The 22,995-nt window shown below is 41.7% G+C and overlaps 1 pseudogene, besides 2 other annotated features; it reads right to left on the bottom strand.

The window, feature by feature from the left end:
- Positions 4,165–4,986: an enhancer, noted in NCBI's record as "NANOG-H3K27ac-H3K4me1 hESC enhancer chr8:29890859-29891680 (GRCh37/hg19 assembly coordinates)". NCBI's record gives its function as "activates a minimal SCP1, AML or CMV promoter by ChIP-STARR-seq in naive H9 embryonic stem cells {active_cell/tissue: H9 hESC(naive)}" and the evidence as "EXISTENCE:reporter gene assay evidence [ECO:0000049][PMID:30033119]".
- On the bottom strand, positions 8,497–11,053 carry MAP2K1P1 (mitogen-activated protein kinase kinase 1 pseudogene 1; annotated as a pseudogene).
- Positions 17,822–18,116: a silencer, noted in NCBI's record as "tiled region #14750; HepG2 Repressive non-DNase unmatched - State 23:Low". NCBI's record gives its function as "represses a minimal TATA promoter and a strong SV40 promoter by Sharpr-MPRA in HepG2 cells {active_cell/tissue: HepG2}" and the evidence as "EXISTENCE:reporter gene assay evidence [ECO:0000049][PMID:27701403]".

Here is a 22,995-nt window from a genome sequence, read left to right as displayed (position 1 = left end):
CAAGGTGCTGGGATTATAGGCATGAGCCACTGCACTCAGCCCTCTTTTCCTTCTTCCTAAATTATGTCTTTTAGGATTCCTCTCAGCCAAAGTTTGACAGAGGTCAACTCTCTTATTCTTTGTTTGCTTTAAAATGTCTTTAGTTTGCCTTCATTCTTTAGTGATAGTTTATCTCCTTTATCTGCAGAGAATCCTAGATGATAATTATAATTTTACACTTTGAAGATATTGTGTTTTTGGTTTCTGTTGTTGTTAAGTCTGCTGTTTGTCATTCCTTTGTAGGTAATCTACTTTTTTTTTGGTGTTTAAAATTTTCTTGTTGTCTTGGTGTTTTGCTGTTTATTATAATGTGACAAGGTATAGATTTATTTCTGTATTTCCCACTTGGTACTTTTTGTATTATACTTCCTGAATCTGAGGATTCATGTCTTTCATTAATTCTAGAAAATTCTCAGCCATTTGTTCTTTGAATATTACCTCTCTCACATCTCTTTGTTTCTGCTGGAATTCCCATTAGATATATATTTATTTTCTCATTCTCTCTTCTGTGTCTCTTAAACTCTCTTGAACCCTTTCCGTGTTTTATTTCTTTTGCATTCTGGGCAATTTCCTGAGCCCTATCATAGTCTACTCTTCTCTTTTCAGTTGTGTCTAAGCTGATGCCAAATTTGACTAATGGGTTTTCTGTTTCAGTGATTCCATTTTTCATTTCAGAAGTTTTTTTTTCCTTTCTATACTGTCTTCTATGTTTACTTTTCTCCTTTATGTCTTTAATTGTTTTATCATCTTCATTTGATTATTCAGGAACCTGAAGCTCTGAGAGTCTAATGAACTTTATTACATGCTTGTTACTTCTGCTGGCTCTTGCTCACGATGGATTATTAAGTACTGAGTTGTGTGATTGTATGTTATGAGTTCATCTTCAGCAGGGCTCTATTTGTAAGAATGGTGGTGAGTGTGTCCCTCCTGTGTGGTTTTCTTCTGCCAGGTGCTCCAGTGATGTAGCCATCCTAGGATCTATTTATGTGTTAATTTTTTGGCTTGGGGGTTCCTGGGTCCTCACATGGCATTGACCCATAATTGACTTTCCGATGAGGAAACTAATTTTTTTTCTTTTTTTTTCTTTTTCTATTCAGAGTCTAGGTAGGCCAGAAGAGACAAACTTCTACGTCATTTCGTTATGCTGGTAGAGAGATATTTTTCTAGTCCACTCTTCCTGTGCTGTATGTGGAGTCAGGGGAGGGAGGATGGGTGGGTCTTACTTCAGCTTCCTACTTGGCAGTCTCAAGATCTTTCACTTTATCATTGTGTACATGTTAAAACCAAATTCCTAACGTTTCGTAAGTTGGAGATAAACCCGACCAATCCAGGTTAGTTGCCACATCAGCTCACTCACATAATGCTCTGGTTTTCAGAAACCAAATCTTCATTGCTGAGCTCTGGGGATTTCTCCTACTTTCTTGTAAGCTTAACTATGCATTCAAATGTTTTTACTTTTTTTTTTTTTTTTCCACAGAGTCTCACTCTGTCACCCAGGCTGGAGTGCAGTGGTGCAATCTCGGCTCACCGCAACCTCTGCCTCCCAGGTTCAAGCAATTCTCTTGCCTCAGCCTCCTGATTAGCTGGGATTACAGGCATGTACCACCATGCCTGGCTAATTTTTGTAGTTTTAGTAGAGATGGGGTGGCATGAGCCACCGCAGCTGGTTGCTATGCATTCAAATGGATGTTACATCTGGCATTCCTCTGTGTTAATGGTGGGAGAGTTTTCAAGACATTGAGTCTGTCCTGTTCATAAAATTAGAAATCTTCAGTATTCTAATCTATCAAAGGTCGTTGTCCATACCATACGATCATAGCCTAATTTCCATACATGGCACACACTTCCACAGGAGCATGCTGCATGTGCACATGTGTGCACCCACACAATACCTGTTTTGCCTACAGTAGACTCACCCTTAGTGCCCATGTGCAACTTTATCCCTTATGGGATCTCAGTGGAAGAAGTAAAAGTTTCAATGCCTAGAAAAGTATATGGGGTCAGAGGGAGTCCCTTCATTATCAACAAAAACTTTTCGGAAAATACAGCACAGTGGTTAATGGCTGTGTATCAGACAAGCCTGTGTTGAATCTAGCCTTTGCCAGTCTGTGACCTTGAGAAGAGTACTCAACCTTTTTTTTTTTTGGAGACAGGGTCTTGCTCTGTCACTGAGGCTGGAGTGCAGTAGTGCATTCTTGGCTCATTGCAGCCTCAATCTCCCAGGCTCAAGTGATCTCCTATTCAGTCTCCCAAGCAGATGGTACTACATGTGTGCACTAATTTTTAAAAAGTAAAAACAAATAATAAAAAAAAGTTTTTATAGAAACATCTCACTATGTTGCCCAGGCTGGTCTTGAACTCCTGGCCTCAAGCGATCCTCTCACCTTGGCCTCTGGGATTACAGGCATGAGCCACTGTGCCCGGCCTTACTCAACTTCTTTATGCTCAGTTTTCACATCTGTGAAATGAGAGTGTTAAATGTTGTGAGGGTTAAATGAATGCTTCAATAATGTTAGTTATTACATTTATTATTATTATTCTTTATTTGTATGCTTAAAAAAACTCAATCCCTTTCCAAAAGACTCTGAGGGCCAGTATATTAAGTTGAACCACAAAATCGCTTTCATGCGCGTCCGTGTGAAGAGACCACCAAACAGGCTTTGTGTGAGAAATAAAGCTTTTAATCACCTGGGTGCAGGTGGGCTGAGTCCGAAAAGAGAGTCATCGAAGGGAGATAAGGGTGGAGCCGTTTTGTAGGATTTGGGTAGATAAAGGAAAATTACAGTCAAAGGGGGGTTGTTCTCTGGTGGGCAGAAGTGGGGGTCACAAGGTGCTCAGTAGGGGAGCTTTTGAGCCAGGATGAGCCAGGAGAAGGAATTTCACAAGACAATGTCATCAGTTAAGGCAGGAACAGGCCATTTTCACTTCTTGTGTGGTGGAATGTCATCAGTTAAGGCAGGAACTGGCCATCAGGATGTGTACGTGCAGGTCACAGGGGATATGATGGCTTACCTTGGGCTCAGAGGCCTGACAATCGCCATGTTTGTAGATAAAAAATTATTAGATTGGTAGTTTTGTAAGGCTCAATGTAATACTTACTTCAGAACAGGGATCCTATTTTGAAGTTGTTAGAGGAAGACACATTCAAAGGATGAGACTTTGATAATAGAAACACAGATTGGGGCGGGGTGCAGTGGCTCATGCCTGTGAGCACTTTGGGAGGCTGAGGCAGGAGGATCACCTGAGGTCAGGAGTTTGAGACCAGTTTGGCCAACATGGTTGAAACTCCATCTCTACTAAAAATACAAAAATTAGCCGGGCATGGTGGTGGCCACCTGTAATCCCAGCTACTTGGGAGACTGAGGCAGGAGAATCACTTGAACCCAGGAGGTGATGATACAGGAGTTATTAAGAAATAATTTTTAGGCAGATAGTAAGGGTAAAGGTTCTCGGTGGAAATTTTCCTGGAATAAGAAACAATCCCTGAACCATCTCTTTTCTAACAGAAATGGTGGCTTGAAGGGTTGGGCCAGCAAGCTTTAATATGCAAATACAGGCCATTAGAAACTGGGTTCACTCAATATGGCGATTCCTGCCATCTTTTCCTTGTCACCAGGTGTAGCAATTGTCATGGCCACCTCCAGATAACACCATGTGTTCAGAACATCATGGCGACCTGCATTTGTATGTTACGGGGCTAAGGTGGGAGGGCCAGGTTTTTCTTGGGTTATGTAAATGACACACCTGGTGGGCCCTATGGAAATCAGACACCACCTCCTCCGGCCTCTTCCTATAAGCAGCCACTTTTCTGCCGCACACGGAGTTTTCTCTTTGTTTGAATACCCCTCCCTCTGTCTCTATACGGGGGAGCTGTTTTCTTCTTCCTTCTTTCTTGCCTATGAAACTTTTCGATCCCTAAAACCACTCCACGTGTGTGCGTTTTATTTAAACCGGCACGAGACCGAGGACCCTGGTATTCCTCCAGTCATTGGAGTGGTATCAGCAAGGTTGCAGTGAGCCGAGATCACCCCACTGCACTCCAGCCTGGGCGACAGAGTGCGACGCTGCTCAAAAAAAAAAAAAAAAAAAAAAAAAAGTAACAAAGATTGGGACTCAGTCTCTGGGGTTAGGAAGGTCCCCAGGTGTTGAATTTGAATTCCCCATTGGACATTTCTTCGGTTTTATTATAATTTAGTCAGTTTTAGCATTGCCTAATTTAGATAAGTTTTGCCAGAAAGTTGCTGAAAAGTTATATATTTCAGGGTATTGAATAGGCCTATGTATTTGAAACAAAAATATCCCATTTTGGAAGTGATCATTAAGAATAGGAGACTTGGTAGTTAGCAGGAGGCTTTCAGATGGTCAGCTCATTAGCGAGCTCCTAAGGTGGCCTGCTGAGTGATTAGGAGAAAGAATTGAGGGTGGATTTGCATACTTCTGGATCTGATCTTCTTGTTAACACTGGATAGCTGATTAATAACTGTGAAGAAAATAAAGGTCCTGCCGGGTGGCCCGCAGGGAGCGATACATAATTAGAGGAAACCTCCCCTGCCAGACAGAGAGCTGCTGCTGCAGGGTTGATGAATAACCTTCTGAGGCCGGGAGTTGGAATTTAGCCGAATTCCTGTCACTTTCTCCTGTAATTTGACTGTGTGATTCGTTGACAAGAAAAAGTGGCCCTGCGGAGGTGAGCCCTCCCCACACCCGAGGCTCTCCAGTGCTGCTGAAGCCTTTTGAATTCACTCGTCTTCGAACAGATCAGTCATTAGGTAATCTCTCTGATTTCACTTTTGTGATTTAGGTAAATTAGAAAATTAGCAACAATTAAGTCAGCTATGGGAGAGACTTGAGATATATGGCCTGTTATTTCACAAGAGATAGTTAACTACATTCTGTAGCACTTCCTGTGATCTTTATGAGACTTGTTTACTCAGTTTCTCTGGTGGGCAGAATTTTTTTTTTTTTTGAGACAGTCTCGCTCTGTTGCCAGGCTGGAGTGCAATGGCGTGATCTCAGCTTACCGCAACCTCCGCCTCCTGGGTTCATGCCATTCTCCTGCCCCAGCCTCCTGAGTAGCTGGGACTACAGGCGCGTGCCACCACACCTGGCTAATTTTTGTATTTTTAGTAGAGACGGGGTTTCACCGTGTTGGCCAGGATGGTCTCGATCTCCTGACCTCATGATCTGCCTGCCTTGGCCTCCCAAGTTGCTGGGATTACAGGTGTGAGCCACCGCACCCGGCTGCAGAATTTAGTTTCTATTCCTACCCCAAAACCGAATTGGTGGCTGAATGTTGACCTGAAATGACAATGTAGTGTTAGAGCCTCTCCAAGGATGCCAGAACTCTCTGATGACAATGGATTACACCTCCCTCTTAATTTCTTCCTTAAAAACTATGTAAGTAATCCATGGTAGCTTCTTTTATTTATTATATTGTATTTATTTATTTTTAGAGATGGGGGTCTCACTTTGTTGCCCAGGCTGGTCTCAAACTCCTGGACTCAAGTGATCCTCCGACATCGGCCTCCCAAAGTGCTGAGATTACAGGCATGAGCCACCATGCCTGGCCCCATAATCACTTATGTAAAAGTAAAAGAAAACCCCCAGATCACCATATTCACACCTTGGTGCACGGCAAGGCCCTGAGTGAAAAGAGGATTCAATCTAGAGCAGAGATGGAGAAGTATGACTTTCATTATGGGAAAGGCATTTCTATGTAATAGACGGAAAAAGAAGACTGTAGTTGCAGATGGAGAATTGGTGGTTAAAATACGAGGGATGATTTGGTACTTGATGGGTTCTGTATTCTTCATGAAGTGTGAGGAATGATCAATTGAGGCTACATGGAACAGGACGTCAGAGTTTTAGTGGAGTGGAGAGGTATGAAATCCTAATGGAGAATGGGAGAAGGGTTTAGTAGAGGAAATTTAAGAAAATTTCTGGGCATGGTTGAGTGTAAATTTGAGGTTGGTCACTACTAATTTGACCTGTTACCATTCTGCTTAACTGGGTGTTTTTCTCCAGTAATAACCAATGTTTCAAGTTCAAGGCATAGAGGAGGTAAGGTGGATATTGGATCTGTGCAGAGTTCAGGTTCTGCTGTGGAAGGAGAAGGTCAAGGAGCTGAAGGTATTTGTAAGACAGCAAATGCATTTGCTAGACTATGGAATTGTAGCTTGATGAGAAGGAATGTGCTGGGTAAAAAAAAGTAGAAATGTCATTGTTTTTGGGATGTCGATGAGATCAAAGAAATGTGGGAGGAAATGGAGAAAATGATGTCAAAGGAAAGAGGTTACGGTAGGAGACAGAGGTTTTTAAATTAGTGCCTTTTCTTTTTTTTAATATTTGTTTATTTAGTTTTTACATGGACAAGGTCTTACCTTGTTGCCCAGGTTGGTCTCGAACTGCTGGGCTCAAATGATCCTCCTGCCTTGGCCTCCCAAAGTGCTGGGATTACAGGCATGAGCCATTGCACCTGGCGGTACCTTTTCTTTTTGCTTCATTTCTTTTTTCTTTTTCTGAGAAGCTCAGTGGAAGAGGAGGTATCTTCAGCTTGGGTGACTGGAAAGGCTTAATTGAGATGAGATTTAAGTTGGCTTTGGAAATATTTGCATGGGGAAAGAGACTGGAAGTTACGTGGAGCTGTAATTTTGGTGAACACATTATGCAAAGTGGAAACTCATGACACTTGTCTTTCCTAGCAACAAATAACTTGCCCAGCCACTGCTGATGCCATTTTATTATTATCATTATTTTATAGAGACAGGGTCTCACTATGTTGTCCAAGCTGATCTCAAACTCCTGGACTCAAGTGATCCTCCCACCTCGGCCTCCCAAAGTGCTGGGATTCTAGGCATGAGCCACTGTACCCAGCCATAGCTATCTATTTTCTGTGCATCTGTTTATGTATTTGTTGAGAATTTATTATATTCTAGGGCTCATGATATATTCTTTACTTTTGTTAGCTCATTTAATCCTAAGGACTCTATAAGGCAGGCATTATTATCAACCCCATTTTTATATACGAAACTGAGACTCAGAGGCTAAAATTTTTGCCCTCATTCAAATGGTTGGATTTGGATTTGGTTGGAGCTGGGTGTTAAATCTGGTCTATGGACTGTTATTCATAGGTTGAATAACATAATCCGATGGTACACAGACACACCTTAAATTGAGGTAAAATTCACATAACATACATTCCCCATTTTAACCATTTTAAAGTATGCCAATTTAGTGGCTTCTAATACATACACAGATTGTGCTACTGCAACTACTAATTCTAAAACATTTCCTTGCTTCCTTCCTTCCCTCTCTCTCTTTCCTTCCTCTCTCCCCTCCGCTCCCTTCCCCTCCCCTCCCTCCCTCTCTCTCTTATTCTTTCTTTCTTTCTTTCTTTCTTTCTTTCTTTCTTTCTTTTTCTTTCTTTCTTTCTTTCTTTCTTTTTCTTTCCTTTCTTTCTTTCTTTTCTTTCTTTCTTTCTCTTTCTTTTTCTTTTTCTTTCTTTCTCTTTTTCTTTCTTTTCTCTTTCTTTGTTTCTTTTTCTTTCCTTCCTTTTCTTTTTTCTTTCTCTCTCCCCTCCCTCCCCTCCCCTCCCTTCCTCCCTCCTTTCTTTCTCTTTCTTTCCTTCCTGTCTCTTTCTTCCATCTCTGTTTCTTTTTCTTTCTTTTCTCCCTCTCTTCTTTCTTTTTAAAGACAGGATCTCACTGTTACCCAGGCTGGAGTGCAGTGGTGTGAAGTGAAGGCTCACTTCAGCTTCGACCTCCCAGGCTCAAGCCTTAGCCTCCCGACTAGGTGGGACCACAGGAATGCACCACTATGGCTGGCTAATTTTGGGAAACATAGAGAGACCTCATCTCTACCAAAAAAAAAAAAAATGTAGAACATTTTCAATACTCCAAAAAGAAACCCCATATTTATTAAGCAGTCACTTCCTTTGTACCCCTCCTACCAGACCCTGGTGATCACTAATTGGTTTTCTGTCTCTGTGGACTTCCATACTTTGGACATTTCATATAAATAGAATCATGTAATATGATAAGCCTTTTGTGTCTGGCTTCTTTCATTTGTTTTCAAGCTTTGTCTTGTTGTAGCAGGTAACACACTCTGTACATTTTAATGGCTGAATAGTAATCTGTGGTATGGATATACCACATTTTGTTTATCCATTCAACAGTTTATGAATATTTAGGTTGTTTCTACCTTTTGGCTATTGTGAATAATGCTGCTGTGAACATTTGTGTGTAGTTTCTATTCGAACATTCGTGTTCAGTTCTCTTAGATATATACCTGGGAGTGGAATTGCTCGGTTGTGTGGTAGTTCTATGTTTAGCTTTTTGAGGAACAACCAAACTGTTTTCTACAGTGGCTGCACCATTTACATTTTCACCAACAACATATCTACTCAAGTCCTTGTCTTTTTGAGTTGTAAGAATTCTTTTTCTTTTCTTTTCTTTTTTTTAGCTTCCATCCTTTTTTTTAAACTTCATAGTATATTTATTGGAATAAGAGATTAGATTTGTTAAACATCTAGGTTAAAATGGTTAAAAGGATTTTCATACAATATTAGGCACTGTACGTGTCGTTTATAGCAGCATTGGTACTTGGATATGGGGAAAGATAAATCTGACATTTTAATGCCTTGATCAATTTGTGACATTCAAAATAATTTCACCATTTAAGAAACAATCAAAACTTAAAGAGACATACCACTGAGTATCCCACACAGTATATTGAAAATAAATGTAGAAATACAACCGGAGGTCTACAGATCGTCACAGTAGACAGACTGGTGAAGCCCCAGCTATCATGGCAGTGAAGTGCTCTGGCTAGATTTGGATGTAAACTGCTGAATTCTACATGAAAAGCAAATAATAATAAAATAACATGATGTACACTTTCTGATGCTCATATTCACAGCAGCAAAGCATGCTTCACATGCACTGCCTGTGAAGGATCTCACAAAAAGCTCCCTCCTACTCAGAGAGAAAGTATGCCCAGCAAGAATAAAGTACCACCAAATGTGAAAGAATCCCGAAAATACAGGCAGACAGCCAGTCATGGAGCAAGAACAGCAGTGCAATTGTAAGAATGACTACCCACAGTCACCAGAATTTCACTGTAATTCAGCCTGGCACGGGTTTTGATCATCAACATACACACAAATAGCCCCAAGCACAAAGCCAATCCACTTAGAGGAACAATAATAGTAATAAGAATAAAGACAGTAATATTAAAAATGACAAGAGTATAATCTTGGCACATGCTGTGTTCTTCATCCTTTGTCACAGGTGAAATGCACATCTAAACAGAGACAGGCATGGGAAGGAGGCCCAAAAGTGACATGGCAAACCACTGGGCAGGGGACTTGCTCTTTGCTGCTTCCCAAACACTTAGACGCCAGCAGCATGGGTTGGTGTGCTGGGCTGGTTAAGCCCGATGGTGGAGCAGAGCCAACCCGCAAAATCCACTTCCTCAGCATCAGATCTCTTGATAAAAGCATGAACCATGAGTTGCTTCAAATCTGCTCTCTCTACGGGGTTTTTATTAGGCATTTATTCACAAAATCTTGAAATTCCAGACTGAACACTCCACTGGGCAGTTTTGGAGGAGGCTCGTTGACTATGTAATCCAACAACTCAAAAATTGCCACGGGAGGTCGGCTGTCCATTCCATATGAGCTAAGAGGCCTCCCTGGGGTCCTTGGCCTGGGTGGGGTCTCAGCCGCATCTCCCTCCACCTGGCACCCAAACATCAGCTCCAGCTCCTTGGCATCTGGAGAAGGGATGGGATACCTCCCAACTGCCATCTCTACCAGAGAGAGTCCCATGCTCCAGATGTCTGACTGCACAGAGTAATGAGTCCCCTGGAATCTTTCTGGGGACATGTAGGACCTTGGGCCCATGAAGGAGTTGGCCATGGAGTCGATGAGCTGCCCACTGACCCCCCAAAGTTACAGAGCTTGATCTCCCCACGGGAGCTGACTATGATGTGGGAGGGCTGGACATCTATGTGCATGATCTTGTGCTTCTCCCTCAGATATGTCAGGCCTTTTATTACAGCAATGCTAACTTTTTCTAAAATTTGTTCAGGAATTCTTCCCGCTTTCTTCAGGACTTGATCCAGGGAATCTCCATCCATGTGCTACCTGCAGATACTGATCTCGCCTCTCGCTGTAGAATGCACCACAGAAGCCCACGATGTACGGAGAGTTGCACTCATGAAGAACCTGCAGCTCCCTTATGATCTGGTTCCGGACTGCAGGTTTGATCTCCAGATGAATTAGCTTTCTGGCCACGACCAGGCCAGAAGGCTTGTGGGAGGCTTTGGACACCACACCGCCATTGCCAGCCCCCAGCTCACTGATCTTCTCAAAGTCGTCATCCTTTAGTTCTCCCACCTTCTATCTCTGGGTAAGAAAGGCCTCAAGGTGCTTTCGCTGCTGCTCGTCAAGCTCTAGCTCTTCCAGCTTCTTCTGCAAGGCCTCCAAGTTGGTTTCCGCAGAGCTGGTCCCGTTAACCACGGCTGGAGCCGTCGGGGGCTGGGGTCAGCTGGATGGGCGTCGGCGTCTTCTTGGGCATTTTGGACCCGACTAAGGCGCTTCCAACTCCGGGGGGAGGGCAGCACCTCTCGCGTCCTCCCGCTGCGCTGCTCCGCGCCTGCTGTGCAGGACCAAGTCCGGTCCGCGTCTGCCTTCGGCGAGGCTGCCTTCGGAGGGTGAGCCCCTCGCGGGCCCGTCAGCGCCGAGGGGCCGGTAGCGGTCTTAGGGGACCCCCGCCTCAACAACCCGGGACTCAGCTCCCCACGCAGAGAGCCGAAGGGCTGCCCTGCAGGAGCGAGCAGGCTGAACATGCGGTTGGGCAGCCCGGGATTCCCTCCCTTTCTCCCTCAACCAACCAGTCCCTCCGGCTCGGGCGGCCCAGCTGCGCGCGCACCAGAGCCCAGCTCCAGCTCCTGCCGTGGAAAGTGCTGCCGCCGCAGTGCACCTAGCCGCTCGTCGAAGCGACCCTGGGAGGGAATGGAGGCCGGGGCCGGGCGAGGAGGGGGAAGAATTCTTTTTCTGTTCTGGATACTAGGCCTTTACCAGATATGTGTTTGCAAATATTTTCTCCCATTCTGTAGGTTATCATTTATGCTTTCTTGATAGTTTCCTTGATGTCCAAAAGCCCGTTATTTTGAAATTCAATTTGTCTATTTTTTCTTTTGTTGCTTGTGCTTTGGGTGTCATATTTAAGAAAACTAGTTAAAGGTCAAGAAGACATATACTTACGTTTTATTCTAAAAGTTTTATCATTTTTATTCTTACATTTAGGTCTTTGATCAATTTCAAATTAATTTTTACATATGGTGTAAGGTAGGGGTTTGATTTCATTCTTTTGCATGTAAATATCCAGTTGTCTCAACACCATTTGTTGAAGAGACGATTCTTTCCTCATTTAATGGCCTTGACAAACTTGTTGAAAACCAATTAGCTATAGAAGTAAGAATTTATTTCTGGACTCTCAGTTCTACTCTATTGATCTGTCTATCCTTATGCCAATACCACACTGTTGTGATTACTGTAGCTTTGTTGTAAGTTTTGAAATTGGGAACTGTGTGTTTTCCTACTTTGTTCTTCTTTTTCCATCTTTGTTTTAGGATATTCTCCATCTTTATCAATTCCCTATGAATTTTAGAATCAGCTCGTCTATTTCTGCCAAAATGACAGAATTTGACAGAGATTGGATCAATATGTAGATCAATTTGGGGAACATTGCTGATATAGTTTGGATATTGTTCCCCCAGAATCTCATGTTGAATTGTAATCCCCAGTGCTGGAGGTGGGGCCAGGTGGAAGGTGACTGGATCATGGGAGTGGATTTTTCATGACTGGCTTAGTGCTATCCCCTTGGTGTTGTCCATGCAGTAGTGAGTGAGTACTTGAAAGATCTGACTGTTTAAAAGTGTGTGACATCTTCCCCTACACACTCTCTTGCTCTTGCTCTTGCCATGTGATGTGCCTGCTCTTGCTTCACCTTCTTGCTCTTGCTCTTACCATGTGATGTGCCTGCTCTTGCTTCACCTTCTGCCATGAGTAAAAGCTCCCTGAGCCTTCCCAGAAGCTGAGCAGATGTGCAGCACTGTGCTTCCTGTACAGCCTGCAGAACCATGAGCCAATTAAGCCTCTTTTCTTTACAAATTACGCAGTCTCAGCTATTTCTTTATAGCAATCTAAGAATGGCCTAATACAATTGCCATCTTAATAATATTGTCTTCTAATCTATGATAGTGAAATGTTTTTCTATTTATTTAGGTCTTCTTTAATTTTTTTTCAGCAATGTTTTGTGGTTTTCAGTGTATAAGTCTTTGCCCTCCTTGGTGACATTTATTCCTAGATATTTTATTATTTTGGATGATATTGTAAGTGGAGTCATTTTCTTAATTTCCTTTTCAGAGTGTTCATCGCTGTTGTCTTGAAGTACAACTGATTTTTGTGTATTGTTCTTATATTCTGTCACTTTGCTGAATTCACTTATCTCTAAAAATTTTATTGTGTATTCCTTAGGGTTTTCTCTCTCTCTCTATATATAAGATCAGTTCATCTGAAAAAGGGTTACTTCTTCTTTTCAGATTTGGATGGCTTTAATTGTTTTACTTGCTTAATTGCCTGGGCTGGAACTTCCAGCACAATGTTAAACAGAAGTGGTGAGAGTGGACATCTGTGTCATTTTCCAGATCTCAGGGAAAAAAACCTTCACTATTTCATCAGTAAGTGTGATATTAGCTGTGGGTTTTTAATAGATGACCTTGATCAGGTTGAGGAAGTTCCCTTATAGTCCTAGTTTGTTGAAATTTTTTTTTCAATGAAAGAGTATTGGCTTTTGTCAAATACTTTTTATGCATGAAGAAGTTTTCATGTTTTTCTCTCCTTTGTTCTATTAATGTGGTGTATTACATGGATTTATTTCCATATGTTGAATCATCCTTGCATTCCTGGAATAAATCCAACTTGGTCATGGTGTGTAATCCTTTTACTATGCTACTAGATTCAATTTGGTAGTATTTTATTGAGAATTTTCTCATCAGTCTTCATGAGATATATTGATCTGTAGTTTTGTTTTCTTCTAGTATCTTTACCTGGCTTTGGCATCAGGGTGATACTGGCTTCATATAAAGAGTTAATAAGTGTTCTCTTCTATTTTTTGGAAGAGTTTGAGAAGACTGTTAATCCTTCTTTAGGCATTTGGGAGTATTCCCAAGTGAAGTCATTGGGTCTTAGAATTTTCTTTGTTGAAAATGTTTTGATTACTGATTCAATGTCATTACTTGCTATGGGCCTATTAAAATTTTCTGCTTCTTCTTGAGTCACCTTTGGTACTTTGTGTAGGAATTTGTCCCTTTCTTTTTTTCTTTTTTGTTTGAGATGGAGTTTCACTCTTGTTGCCCAGGCTGGAGTGCAATGGTGCTATCTTGGCTCACCGCAACCTCCACCTCCTGGGTTCAAGCGATTCTCCTGCCTCAACCTCCTGAGTAGCTGGGATTACAGGCATGCACCACCTTGCCCGGCTAATTTTTTTTTTTTTTGTATTTTTAGGAGAGATGGTGTTTCTCCATGTTGGTCAGGCTGGTCTCGAGCTCCTGACCTCAGGTGATCCACCCGCCTTGGCCTCCCAATGTGCTGGCTAAATGTTTGTTAATTTTGCTTATCTTTTTAAAAAACCTTTTTGTTTTGTTGATTCTTTCTATTGTTTTTCTATATTTCATTTATTTTTGTCTAATCTTTATTGTTTCCTTTCTTCTGATTCCTGAGTTTAGTTTGCTTTTCTTTTTCTAGTTTCTTAAAATAGGAGGTTAGGTAATTGATTTGACATCTTTTTTTATTTTTAAATGTAAGTGTTTAGAGTTATACATTTTCTTTAAGCGCTGCTTTCACTGTGTCCCAAAACTTTTTTGTATGTTGTGTTTTTATTTTTATTCACCTCAAAGTATTTTCTAATTCCTTTTGTTACTTTCTCTTTCACCTGTTGGTTGTTTAAGAGTGTGTTATTTAATTTTCACATATTTGTCAATTTTCCAGATTTCCTTCTGCTATTGATTTCTAATTCATTCTGTGTGGTTGGAGAAGAAACTTTGTGTGATTTCAGTTTTTGAAAAGTCTTTGAGATTTGTTTTGTGGTTTAAATATAATCTATTCTGGAGTTGGTCCATATACACTTGAGAAGAATGCTAGGTATGAGAAGAGTGTCTTCTGTTGGGTAGAGTGTTCTATAATAGAGCTCTATAGAGTTTGTTAGGTCTAGTTTGTTTACAGTGTCGTTCAACTCTTTTATTTCCTTGTTGATCTTTTTTCTAGTTGTTCCACCCACTACTGAAAGTGGAGTAGTGAAGTTTGTAATGATTATTATCGAATAATCTCTCCCTTCAATTCTGCCAGTTTTTGCCTTATATATTTTGGGTCTCTGTTTTTAGGTACATATGTTTATAATTGTTTTATCTTCTTGATTGTATATAATCAGTATTGTATATAATATTATATAATTATTATTGTATAATATCCATTATTGTCTTTTGTAAACATTTTTATCTTACTATTTTGTTTGATATTAATATAGCCGCTCAAGTTCTTTTTTGGCTAATGTTTGCTTGGAAAGTCTCTTCCTATTCTTTTACTTTCAACCTATTTGTCTTTGTGTGTGTGTGTATGTGTGTGTATGTGTGTTTTGAGATGGGGTCTCACTCTGTCATCCAGGCTCGAGTGCAGTGGCATGGTCTCAGCTCACTGCAACCTCCACCTCCCCAGGTTCAAGTGATTTTCCTGCCTCAGCTTCTGGAGTAACTAGGACTACAGGTGTGTGCCACCATGCCCAGCTAATTTTTTTTTTTTTTGAGACTGGAGTCTCGCTCTGTCGCCCAGGCTAGAGTGCAGTGGCACGACCTTGGCTCACTGCAACCTTTGCCTCCCGGGTTCAAGAGATTCTCCTGCCTCAGCCTCTTGAGTAGCTGGGATTACAGGCACTCACCACCACGCCTGGCTAATTTTTATATTTTTAGTAGACATGGGGTTTCACCATGTTGGTCAGGCTGGTCTTGAACTTCCGACCTTGTGATCTGCCCGCCTCAGCCTCCCAGAGTGCTGGGATTATAGGTGTGAGCCACCGTACCTGGCTAATTTTTGTACTTTTTAGTAGAGACAGGGTTTCACCATGTTGCCCAACTCCTGGCCTCAAGTGATTCACCCACCTTGGCCTTCCAAAGAGCTGGGATTATAAGCATGAGCCATCGTGCCTGGCCTCAACCTATTTGTCTTTGGATTTAAAGTGAGTATTTTGTAGACAGCATATGGTTAGATTATTTTAAAAAAATATATTCTGCTAAGTCTCTTCCCTTTACTCAGATAATTTAATCTCTGAATTAATTTACGCTAATTAATTACTGATAAGGAAAGGCTTCTGCACTTTGCTATTGTTTTCTATATTTCACATTGTTTTTTTTCCCTCAATTCCTCCATTATTGCCTTCTTTTATATTTAATAGATATCTTCTAGTGTACATTTTTTATTCCTTCTTATTTCTTTTACAATATACTTTTTAGTTTTTTTTCTTAGTGGTTACTCTGAGAATTACAGTTAACATCTTAATTTATAACAAACAAGTTCAAATTAATGCCAACTTATTTTCAATAGTAGTCACAATTTTTGCTCTTATAAAACTCTATCCCATTTGTTGTTGTTACAAATCACATCTTTATACATTGTGAGCACATCAGTGAAGATTTATAAGTATTGTTTTATACAGTTGTTGTGTTTTATTGATTGATTGATTGACTTTTTGAGATGGGATCTCGCTCTGTTGCCCTGGCTGGGGTGCAGTGATGTGAACATGGCTCACTGCAGTCTCAGTCTGTCTCCTGGGTTCAAGTGATCCTCCTGCCTCAGTCTCTTGAGTAGCTGAGACCACAGGCACATGCCACTATGCCTGGTTAATTAAAAAAAAATTTGTAGAGATGGAGTCTATGTTGCCCAGTCTGACCTCAAAATCCTGGGCCCAAGCAATCCTTCTGCTTTGACCCCTCAAAGTGCTAGGATTAAATGTGTGAGCCACCATACACAGCCCTAAACAGTTGTGTTTTAAACTATATAGGAAAAAAAGGAGTTACAAACTAAAAATAAACGAATACTGACTTATATTTACCTATGTTGTTAGGTAAATATTTACAGATGTTCATTATTTCTTTGGGTGGATTTGCATTGCTTGTGTTCCTTCTCATTTCAGCTGAAGGACTCCTCTCAGCATTTCTTATAGGTTAGGTCTACTAGCAATGGATTCTCTCAGTTTTTGTTTATCTGGGAATGTCTTAATTTCCTCTTTAGTTTTGAAAGATAGTTTTGTCAGATATAGAATTTTTGGTTAATAGCACTTTTAATTTATATTTCAGCTCTTTTAATATGTTATCCCACTGCCTCCTAACCTCCATGATTTCTGATGAGATACTAGCTAGATACTAGCTCTTAGTTTTATTGAGTGCACACCACCACACCCAGCTAATTTTTTTTTGGTAGAGACAGGGTCTTGCTGTGTTGGCCAGGCTGGCACACAGTGGCACAATCATAGCTAACTGCAGCCCCAACCTCCCAGGCTCAAGCAATCCCCCCACCTCAGCCTCCCAAGTAGCTGGGACCACAGGCATGCACCACCACAGCCAGCTAAATTATTTTATCTTTTGTAGAGACAAGTCTCACTGTGTTGCCCAGGCCGGTCTGGAACTTCTGAGCTCAAGCACTCCTCCCTTCTTGGCTTCCCAAAGTGCTGGAACTACAGGAATGAGCCACTGTGCCCAGCCTCCTCTGTGTTTCTTTTCTTTTCTTTTCTTTTTTGAGACAGAGTCTTGCTCTGTCACCCAGGCTGGAGTGCAGTGGCATGATCTCATCTCACTGCAACTTCCGCCTCCTGGGTTCTAAGCAATTCTTCTGCCTCAGCCTCTGGAGTATCTGGGATTACAGGCATGCACCACCAAGCTCAGCTAATTTTGTATTTTTAGTAGAGATGGGGTTTCACCATGTTGGCCAGGATGGTCTTGAACTTCTGACCTTAGGTGATCCACCCTCCTCAGCCTCCCAAAGTGCTGGGATTACAGCCGTGAAGCACTGTGCCCGGCCTGTGTCTATTTTCTTGACTGTTCTCCTAGGACATCACCAATTAATACCCAGGTAGTTTCTTGTGCCATGAGCCTTCCACAGTCTTTGGAAAAAAAATATTTTTTTCAAGGATTGCTTCCTTCAGAGATCAAGATGGATTTGGACATAAACCTTAGGGTGTCTATATGTTTCATATGGGAAAGTTTCTGATCTCGCTTCTGCTTGGGCCTTTATCTCAATTCCAAAGCGAAGCAAGAAACTTGGTAGAATCCTAGTGTTTGCCAGCAAAATAATCTGTTTCTTGCTGCATAACTTCATTCTCTTCTAGTCCTACCCTGCTTGTTACAGATGGCAAAGTAGAGAAGAAAGCTATTGAATGTTTCCAACACAAAGAAATGATAAATGATTGAGATGATGGATATGCTAATTACTCTGATATGATCACTATACATTCTATGTATCAAAACATCACTATGTACCCATGAATATGTACTATTATTTGTCAATTAAAAAATTTGTATACTTAAAAAATGGCAAAGCTAAGACATAGAATAATGCTATGTATCAAAACATCACTATGTACCCCATGAATATGAACAATTATTTGTCAATTAAAAATTTATATACTTAAAAAATGGCAAAGCTAAGACACAGAATGATGCTATGCCTCCATTATTTATGAGAAGAGATGGGATGGTATCTCCCAGCCTGTGAATTCACTGAGTTGGCTCAAAGTTCCGTTTCTGCCTCTGTGCTTTCTTTGGCAGTGGGATCTATAGAGCCATGCCAGCTGGGATAGTTCCCAGCCTCCTCCTCCACCTCCCCTTGGCATCTGGACAAAAATTCCTGGTATATATACAACCATCTAGCTCTGGTAGTGATTTTACTGGCTGAGTGTTTATCCTGCAATTTAGTTTGCAGACCAGATAGCAATGGTATGCCTATAATTACCCAGATTGATTGATGCGTTGATCCATTTATTTAACAAACATTTGTCTAATGTCTATGTGCCAGGTATTAAGATAGGTGCTGGTGCGAGAATCCACCATGAAAATATCACCTTCATTTGAATAGAGGTGAATTGTAATAGAGGTGAAAGGCAGATTCCTTGTTTATTTGCTTGAATTTTCCAGGAGATTGTGTGATTCAGCAATGCTGACTTGTCCAAATTTGGACTATCTAGATGATTGTAGCTAAACCAATAATAGGCCTAATCGCCACTTACCTGTTGGATGCTTTCCAACATGTGGATATCAAGATGCCTTTCTGGGATGGATGATAGTAAGTAAACAAGGTGCTGTTACTGTTGACCAAAGTTCTTGAGAGATGGCTTTACATCTAGATACTGGGGCTGTCAGATACAACAGATGGCAAGATGTTGTCATAGACTGTCTGAGTCTAAAGTTGGGAAGGGATGAATCATTCTGACCTTGTCATTGGAATTTTCTTTTTTTTTTTTTTTTTTTTTTTGAGACAGAGTCTCACTCTGTTGCCCAGTTGGAGTCAGTAGAGCAATCATGGTTCTCTGCAGCCTCAACCTCCTGGGCTTACATGATCCTCCTGCCTCAGTCTCCCAAGTAGCTGGGACTACAGGCGTGTGCTAACATGCCCAGCTAATTTTTGCATTTTTTGCAGAGACAAGAGTTTCTCTATGTTGCCTAGGCTGATCTTGAACTCCTGGGCTCAAGCAATCTTACTGCCTCTGCCTGGATTTTACTTTTAACCTTTCTAAACCTACAAACATTTCCTTTTCATCACCTATGGATTCTGCCTCAATAAAAAAGTTTTGCAATCTGATGACGGCAGTAAGTCTCTGCATTGTGAGAAGGTCTTATAGTGAGACTTTCTTTGCTGTTTTTGCAAGAAAGGCTTCAACATTGAAGTTCTTTGGAAAAGTGTGGTCTCTGCTTTCTGGTATTATACTAAGTCATATCTAGTTTTCTTCTCCTTTCTGAACATGTGGGAGGATTATTCTTTCTTGTGACCTTATAGTAAGGCAGGGCCTTTTGATTAGTTCTTGTCAATGGGCCATGAGTGAAAGCAATATGTGTCATTTGAGGGCATTTGTCTGTTGCTGTGAGACACTCCATCGCTAAGATACATGTCTAGAAACAGACTTGCTAGATTGGATTTCAAGGTACGTCTCTGACTTTATTATAGAGTGTCCAATTTTGCTCTCCATAATGGGTGTGATAATTTACACTTTGACCAACATGATATGAGAGGCCTCATTTCTCCACATCATTGCCAAATTTATAAGCCTTAAAACGCTTTGCAATCTAATGGTATAAAATCACCTGTTTTTTGGGGGTAAAATTTTGCATCTCCATCATTACTAGTGATATTGGTAATCCTTTCATATGTTTTTTTTTTGTTTTTGTTTTTGTTTTTGTTTTGAGACAGAATCTCACTCTGTTACCCAGGCTGGAGAGCAGTGGTGTGATCTCGGCTCATTGCAACCTGTGCCTTCTGAGTTCAAGCCATTCTCCTGCCTCAGCCTCCTGAGCAGCTGGGACTACAGGTGTGTGTCACAATGCCCGGCTAATTTTTTGTATTTTTAGTAGAGATGGGGTTTCACCATGTTAGCCATGATGGTCTCAATTTCCTGACCTCGTGATCTTCCTGCCTTGGCCTCCCAAAGTACTGGGATTACAGGCGTGAGCCACCATGCCCGGCCCCTTTCATATGTTTACTGGCTATTTGGGCTACATTTTCTGTGAACTGTTTGTTTCTTTCTGTAGGGATCATGCTTCATTTATTGCTGCTCCAAGTATTTTCTCTACATCTTGGTAACTGTCCACATTCTGAATCCCACTTTCACAAGAATGATGGCAGCAAACTTGCATCCCCCGGCTCCCTTGCAGCTAGGGTGCAGCATCTAATCTAGATCCTTTCACTCACATGAGCCCATGAAAGACTTGTGAGTGGTTGTCCTTAGGGTGAGTCACAGCAGTTGCTGCTGCAGATCAATTTTACCTTCTCTGGCCTGAAGCACAATGTACATTTACTTGTCACTTTCCAGAGTCTGATGTGAGAGTTCCTTGTAATGCAGCCCTCCATGTGGTCACTCAGGGGCTCAAGGCTTTTTTCATCTTGTGGTTCTGCCCTTCTCTAGGTCCACAGAGTCCTCTCCATTCAGGCAGGGGAGGAAGCAAGAAAAGATGACTTGCAGGAGGCTTTTACTGGCTCTTCCCGGAAGTGATGCACTTTTCCTCTACCTACATTCTATTGGCTGGAACTCAGACAGTCACCACATTTAACAGTAAGGAAGTCTGGGAAATGTGATCTAGTCATGGGTTTTGGTGACTGCATAGTAGTTTCTGCTACATGCTGGAATTGATCTTCTAGCTAACATGGGGACAGATGGCTGGTCCTTGGGAAAACTTTTTATTTTTTTGGAGAGAGGGTGTCTCACTGTGTTACCCAGGCTGGTCTTGAACTCCCAGCCTCAAGTGATTTTCCTGCCTTAGCCTCCCAAAGTGCTGGGACTACAAGTGTGTGCCATTCTGCCCAGCTAAAAGCTCTTTAATGTTCAATCTCTAGGGGCATAGAGAGTGAGCAGTGGGGGCTAAGATAGTTCCTTACAAGCCCCCACAACATAGCTGGGTGTTGTTTCTACCCATATGGTTCCAGCAACTGGCTTTCTAACTCTCTCAGCAATTATGTGAATTGTCTAATATCCTTGACCAAGTTCCTACTCTGTTAAGTCTGTGTGGCTTTCATGGGCTGCAGCTAAGAAATCCGGGGTCATTTTATTTATTTTTGTCTGTTTTTGTTTTGGTCAATTGTATCTATCTTTGAGATTGGGCCTCAGGGACAATATCTCTACTGAAATAAGTAATGGTGTTTACTTCTGTCTGTGTAATAGCCCATAGAACAAGCCTAAGCTCACATGTGTACAAAAGCATATCTACAGCAAATCCATTCTGCAAGTTTCAGGCCCATGAGAACAAGGTATTTCTATGCAGTTTCTATGCAGTTGAGGCAGGACAGTCTCATCTAATCTTTGACCAAAGAGTAGTTTATTTGAAATCCCATTATTGCCACCAGTGATAAAGGTGTGGTGTCAAGAATGCAATCCCAACTCTAGGAGGGGAGTTGTCACCTATGTTTCCCTCCCTGTAGGGAGGCCTTCAGGCTGGGCAGCAGGTTGTGACATATAGCTGGGAATCCAACTGTGTGCATTTGGATATTGACCAGAGAGAGAATCAAGACTGACTTAGAGATCATGATTGACAATTTATAGATTCCTGGGCTCAGGGAGTGATATGGTTTGGCTGTGTCCCCACCCAAATCTCATCTAGAATTGTAATAATCCCCACATGTCAAGGCTGGGGCCTGGTGGAGATAACTGAATCATGGGGGTGGTTTCCCCCATACTGTTCTTGTGGTAGTGAATAAATCTCACGAGATCTGTTGGTTTTATAAAGGGGAGTTCCCCGCACAAGCTCTCTTGCCTGCTGCTGTGTAAGATGTGACTGCTCCTCCCTTGCTAGCTGCCATAATTGTGAGGCCTCTCCTGCCATGTGGAACTGTGAGTCCCTTAAATCTCTTTCCCTTATAAATTACCCAGTTTCAGGTATGTCTTTATTAGCAGTGTGAGAACAGACTAGTACAGGGAAGGGCAAGTGTTGAAAGTTTCAGAGTGGAGTACAAGTTCCCTGATCACTGAGGCTCTTCAAAATCAGCCACTTTTCAGTTCATACTAGATTGAAACCATATCTGAGGGTAACCCATTTAATAATGACATTATTTCACCCTTTCAGCTTCGGCAAGTCACTTAAATTTGTTGAATCTCAACTTCATCATATGTAAAAGTAAAGAGTATCTTCCAGTCCCCACTTCTGGGATCTCATTTCTCTAGCAGACTGCACTGATTCTCATTATTCTTTGTTGCTTTCAGCATTCTCCACCAGATGGCTCCAGTCTCTCAGTGTAAACCCACGCCCACAGCTTCCTTTGGAGCCCGGCTTGCTTTTGTGGATTCCTCCCCTCTGCACACTCAACTTCTACTCTTCTCCAAGTTTTTAAACAAAACACTTCATATGTTTGAAAGCATTTTCTTCCTCCTGTCTTCCATAGCACATTACTCTCCTCATTTCAACCATAGATCAACCATTTATTTTAATTCATTTTTGATGACACAAAGCTAGTCTGTACCACAACCCCTATTGTGGACTGTGGCCAGGGGTCACACTCCAATGCGGGCCCATTGGTGCAGTTAAAAATGGGACAGGAAATTCCTGTGAAAGTCAATGAACTGAGATTCTGGGCTCTTTTGTCTTGGTAGGTTCCTTACTCTATTTGACCTGCTGAAGCCATTAAATTTTTGGGGGCTGTAAAGAATTTTAGGAAGGCAACTGGGATGAGTCTACTCATCCATATTTTTCTTTTTGTTTTTTTTTAAGAGCTGGGGGGTCTTGCTGTATTGCCCAGGCTGATCTCAAACGCCTGGCCTGTCGAGACCAGCTAGGTTGTGGAGACCCTAACCCAGTGGCACTAGAGGAATTAAAGATACACACACAGAAATATAGAGTGTGGAGTGGGAAATCAGGGGACTCACAGCCTTCAGAGCTGAGAGCCCTGAACAGAGTTTGACCCACATATTTATTGACAGCAAGCCAGTGATAAGCATTATTGCTATAGATTACAGATTAACTAAAAGTATTCCTTATGGGAAACAAAGGGATGGGCCGAAACAAAGGGATGGGCTCTGGCTAGTTATCTGCAGCAGGAACATGTCCTTAAGGCACAGATTGCTCATGCTATTGTTTGTGGCTTAGGAACGCCTTTAAGCAGTTTTCCTCCCTGGGTGGGCCAGGTGTTCCTTGCCTGGTAAGGTAAGG

This window comes from Homo sapiens, chromosome 8 (assembly GCF_000001405.40).
Source record: "Homo sapiens chromosome 8, GRCh38.p14 Primary Assembly".
NCBI classification, from domain to species: Eukaryota; Metazoa; Chordata; class Mammalia; order Primates; family Hominidae; genus Homo; species Homo sapiens.
This window is presented reverse-complemented; position numbering and strand designations above follow the sequence as displayed.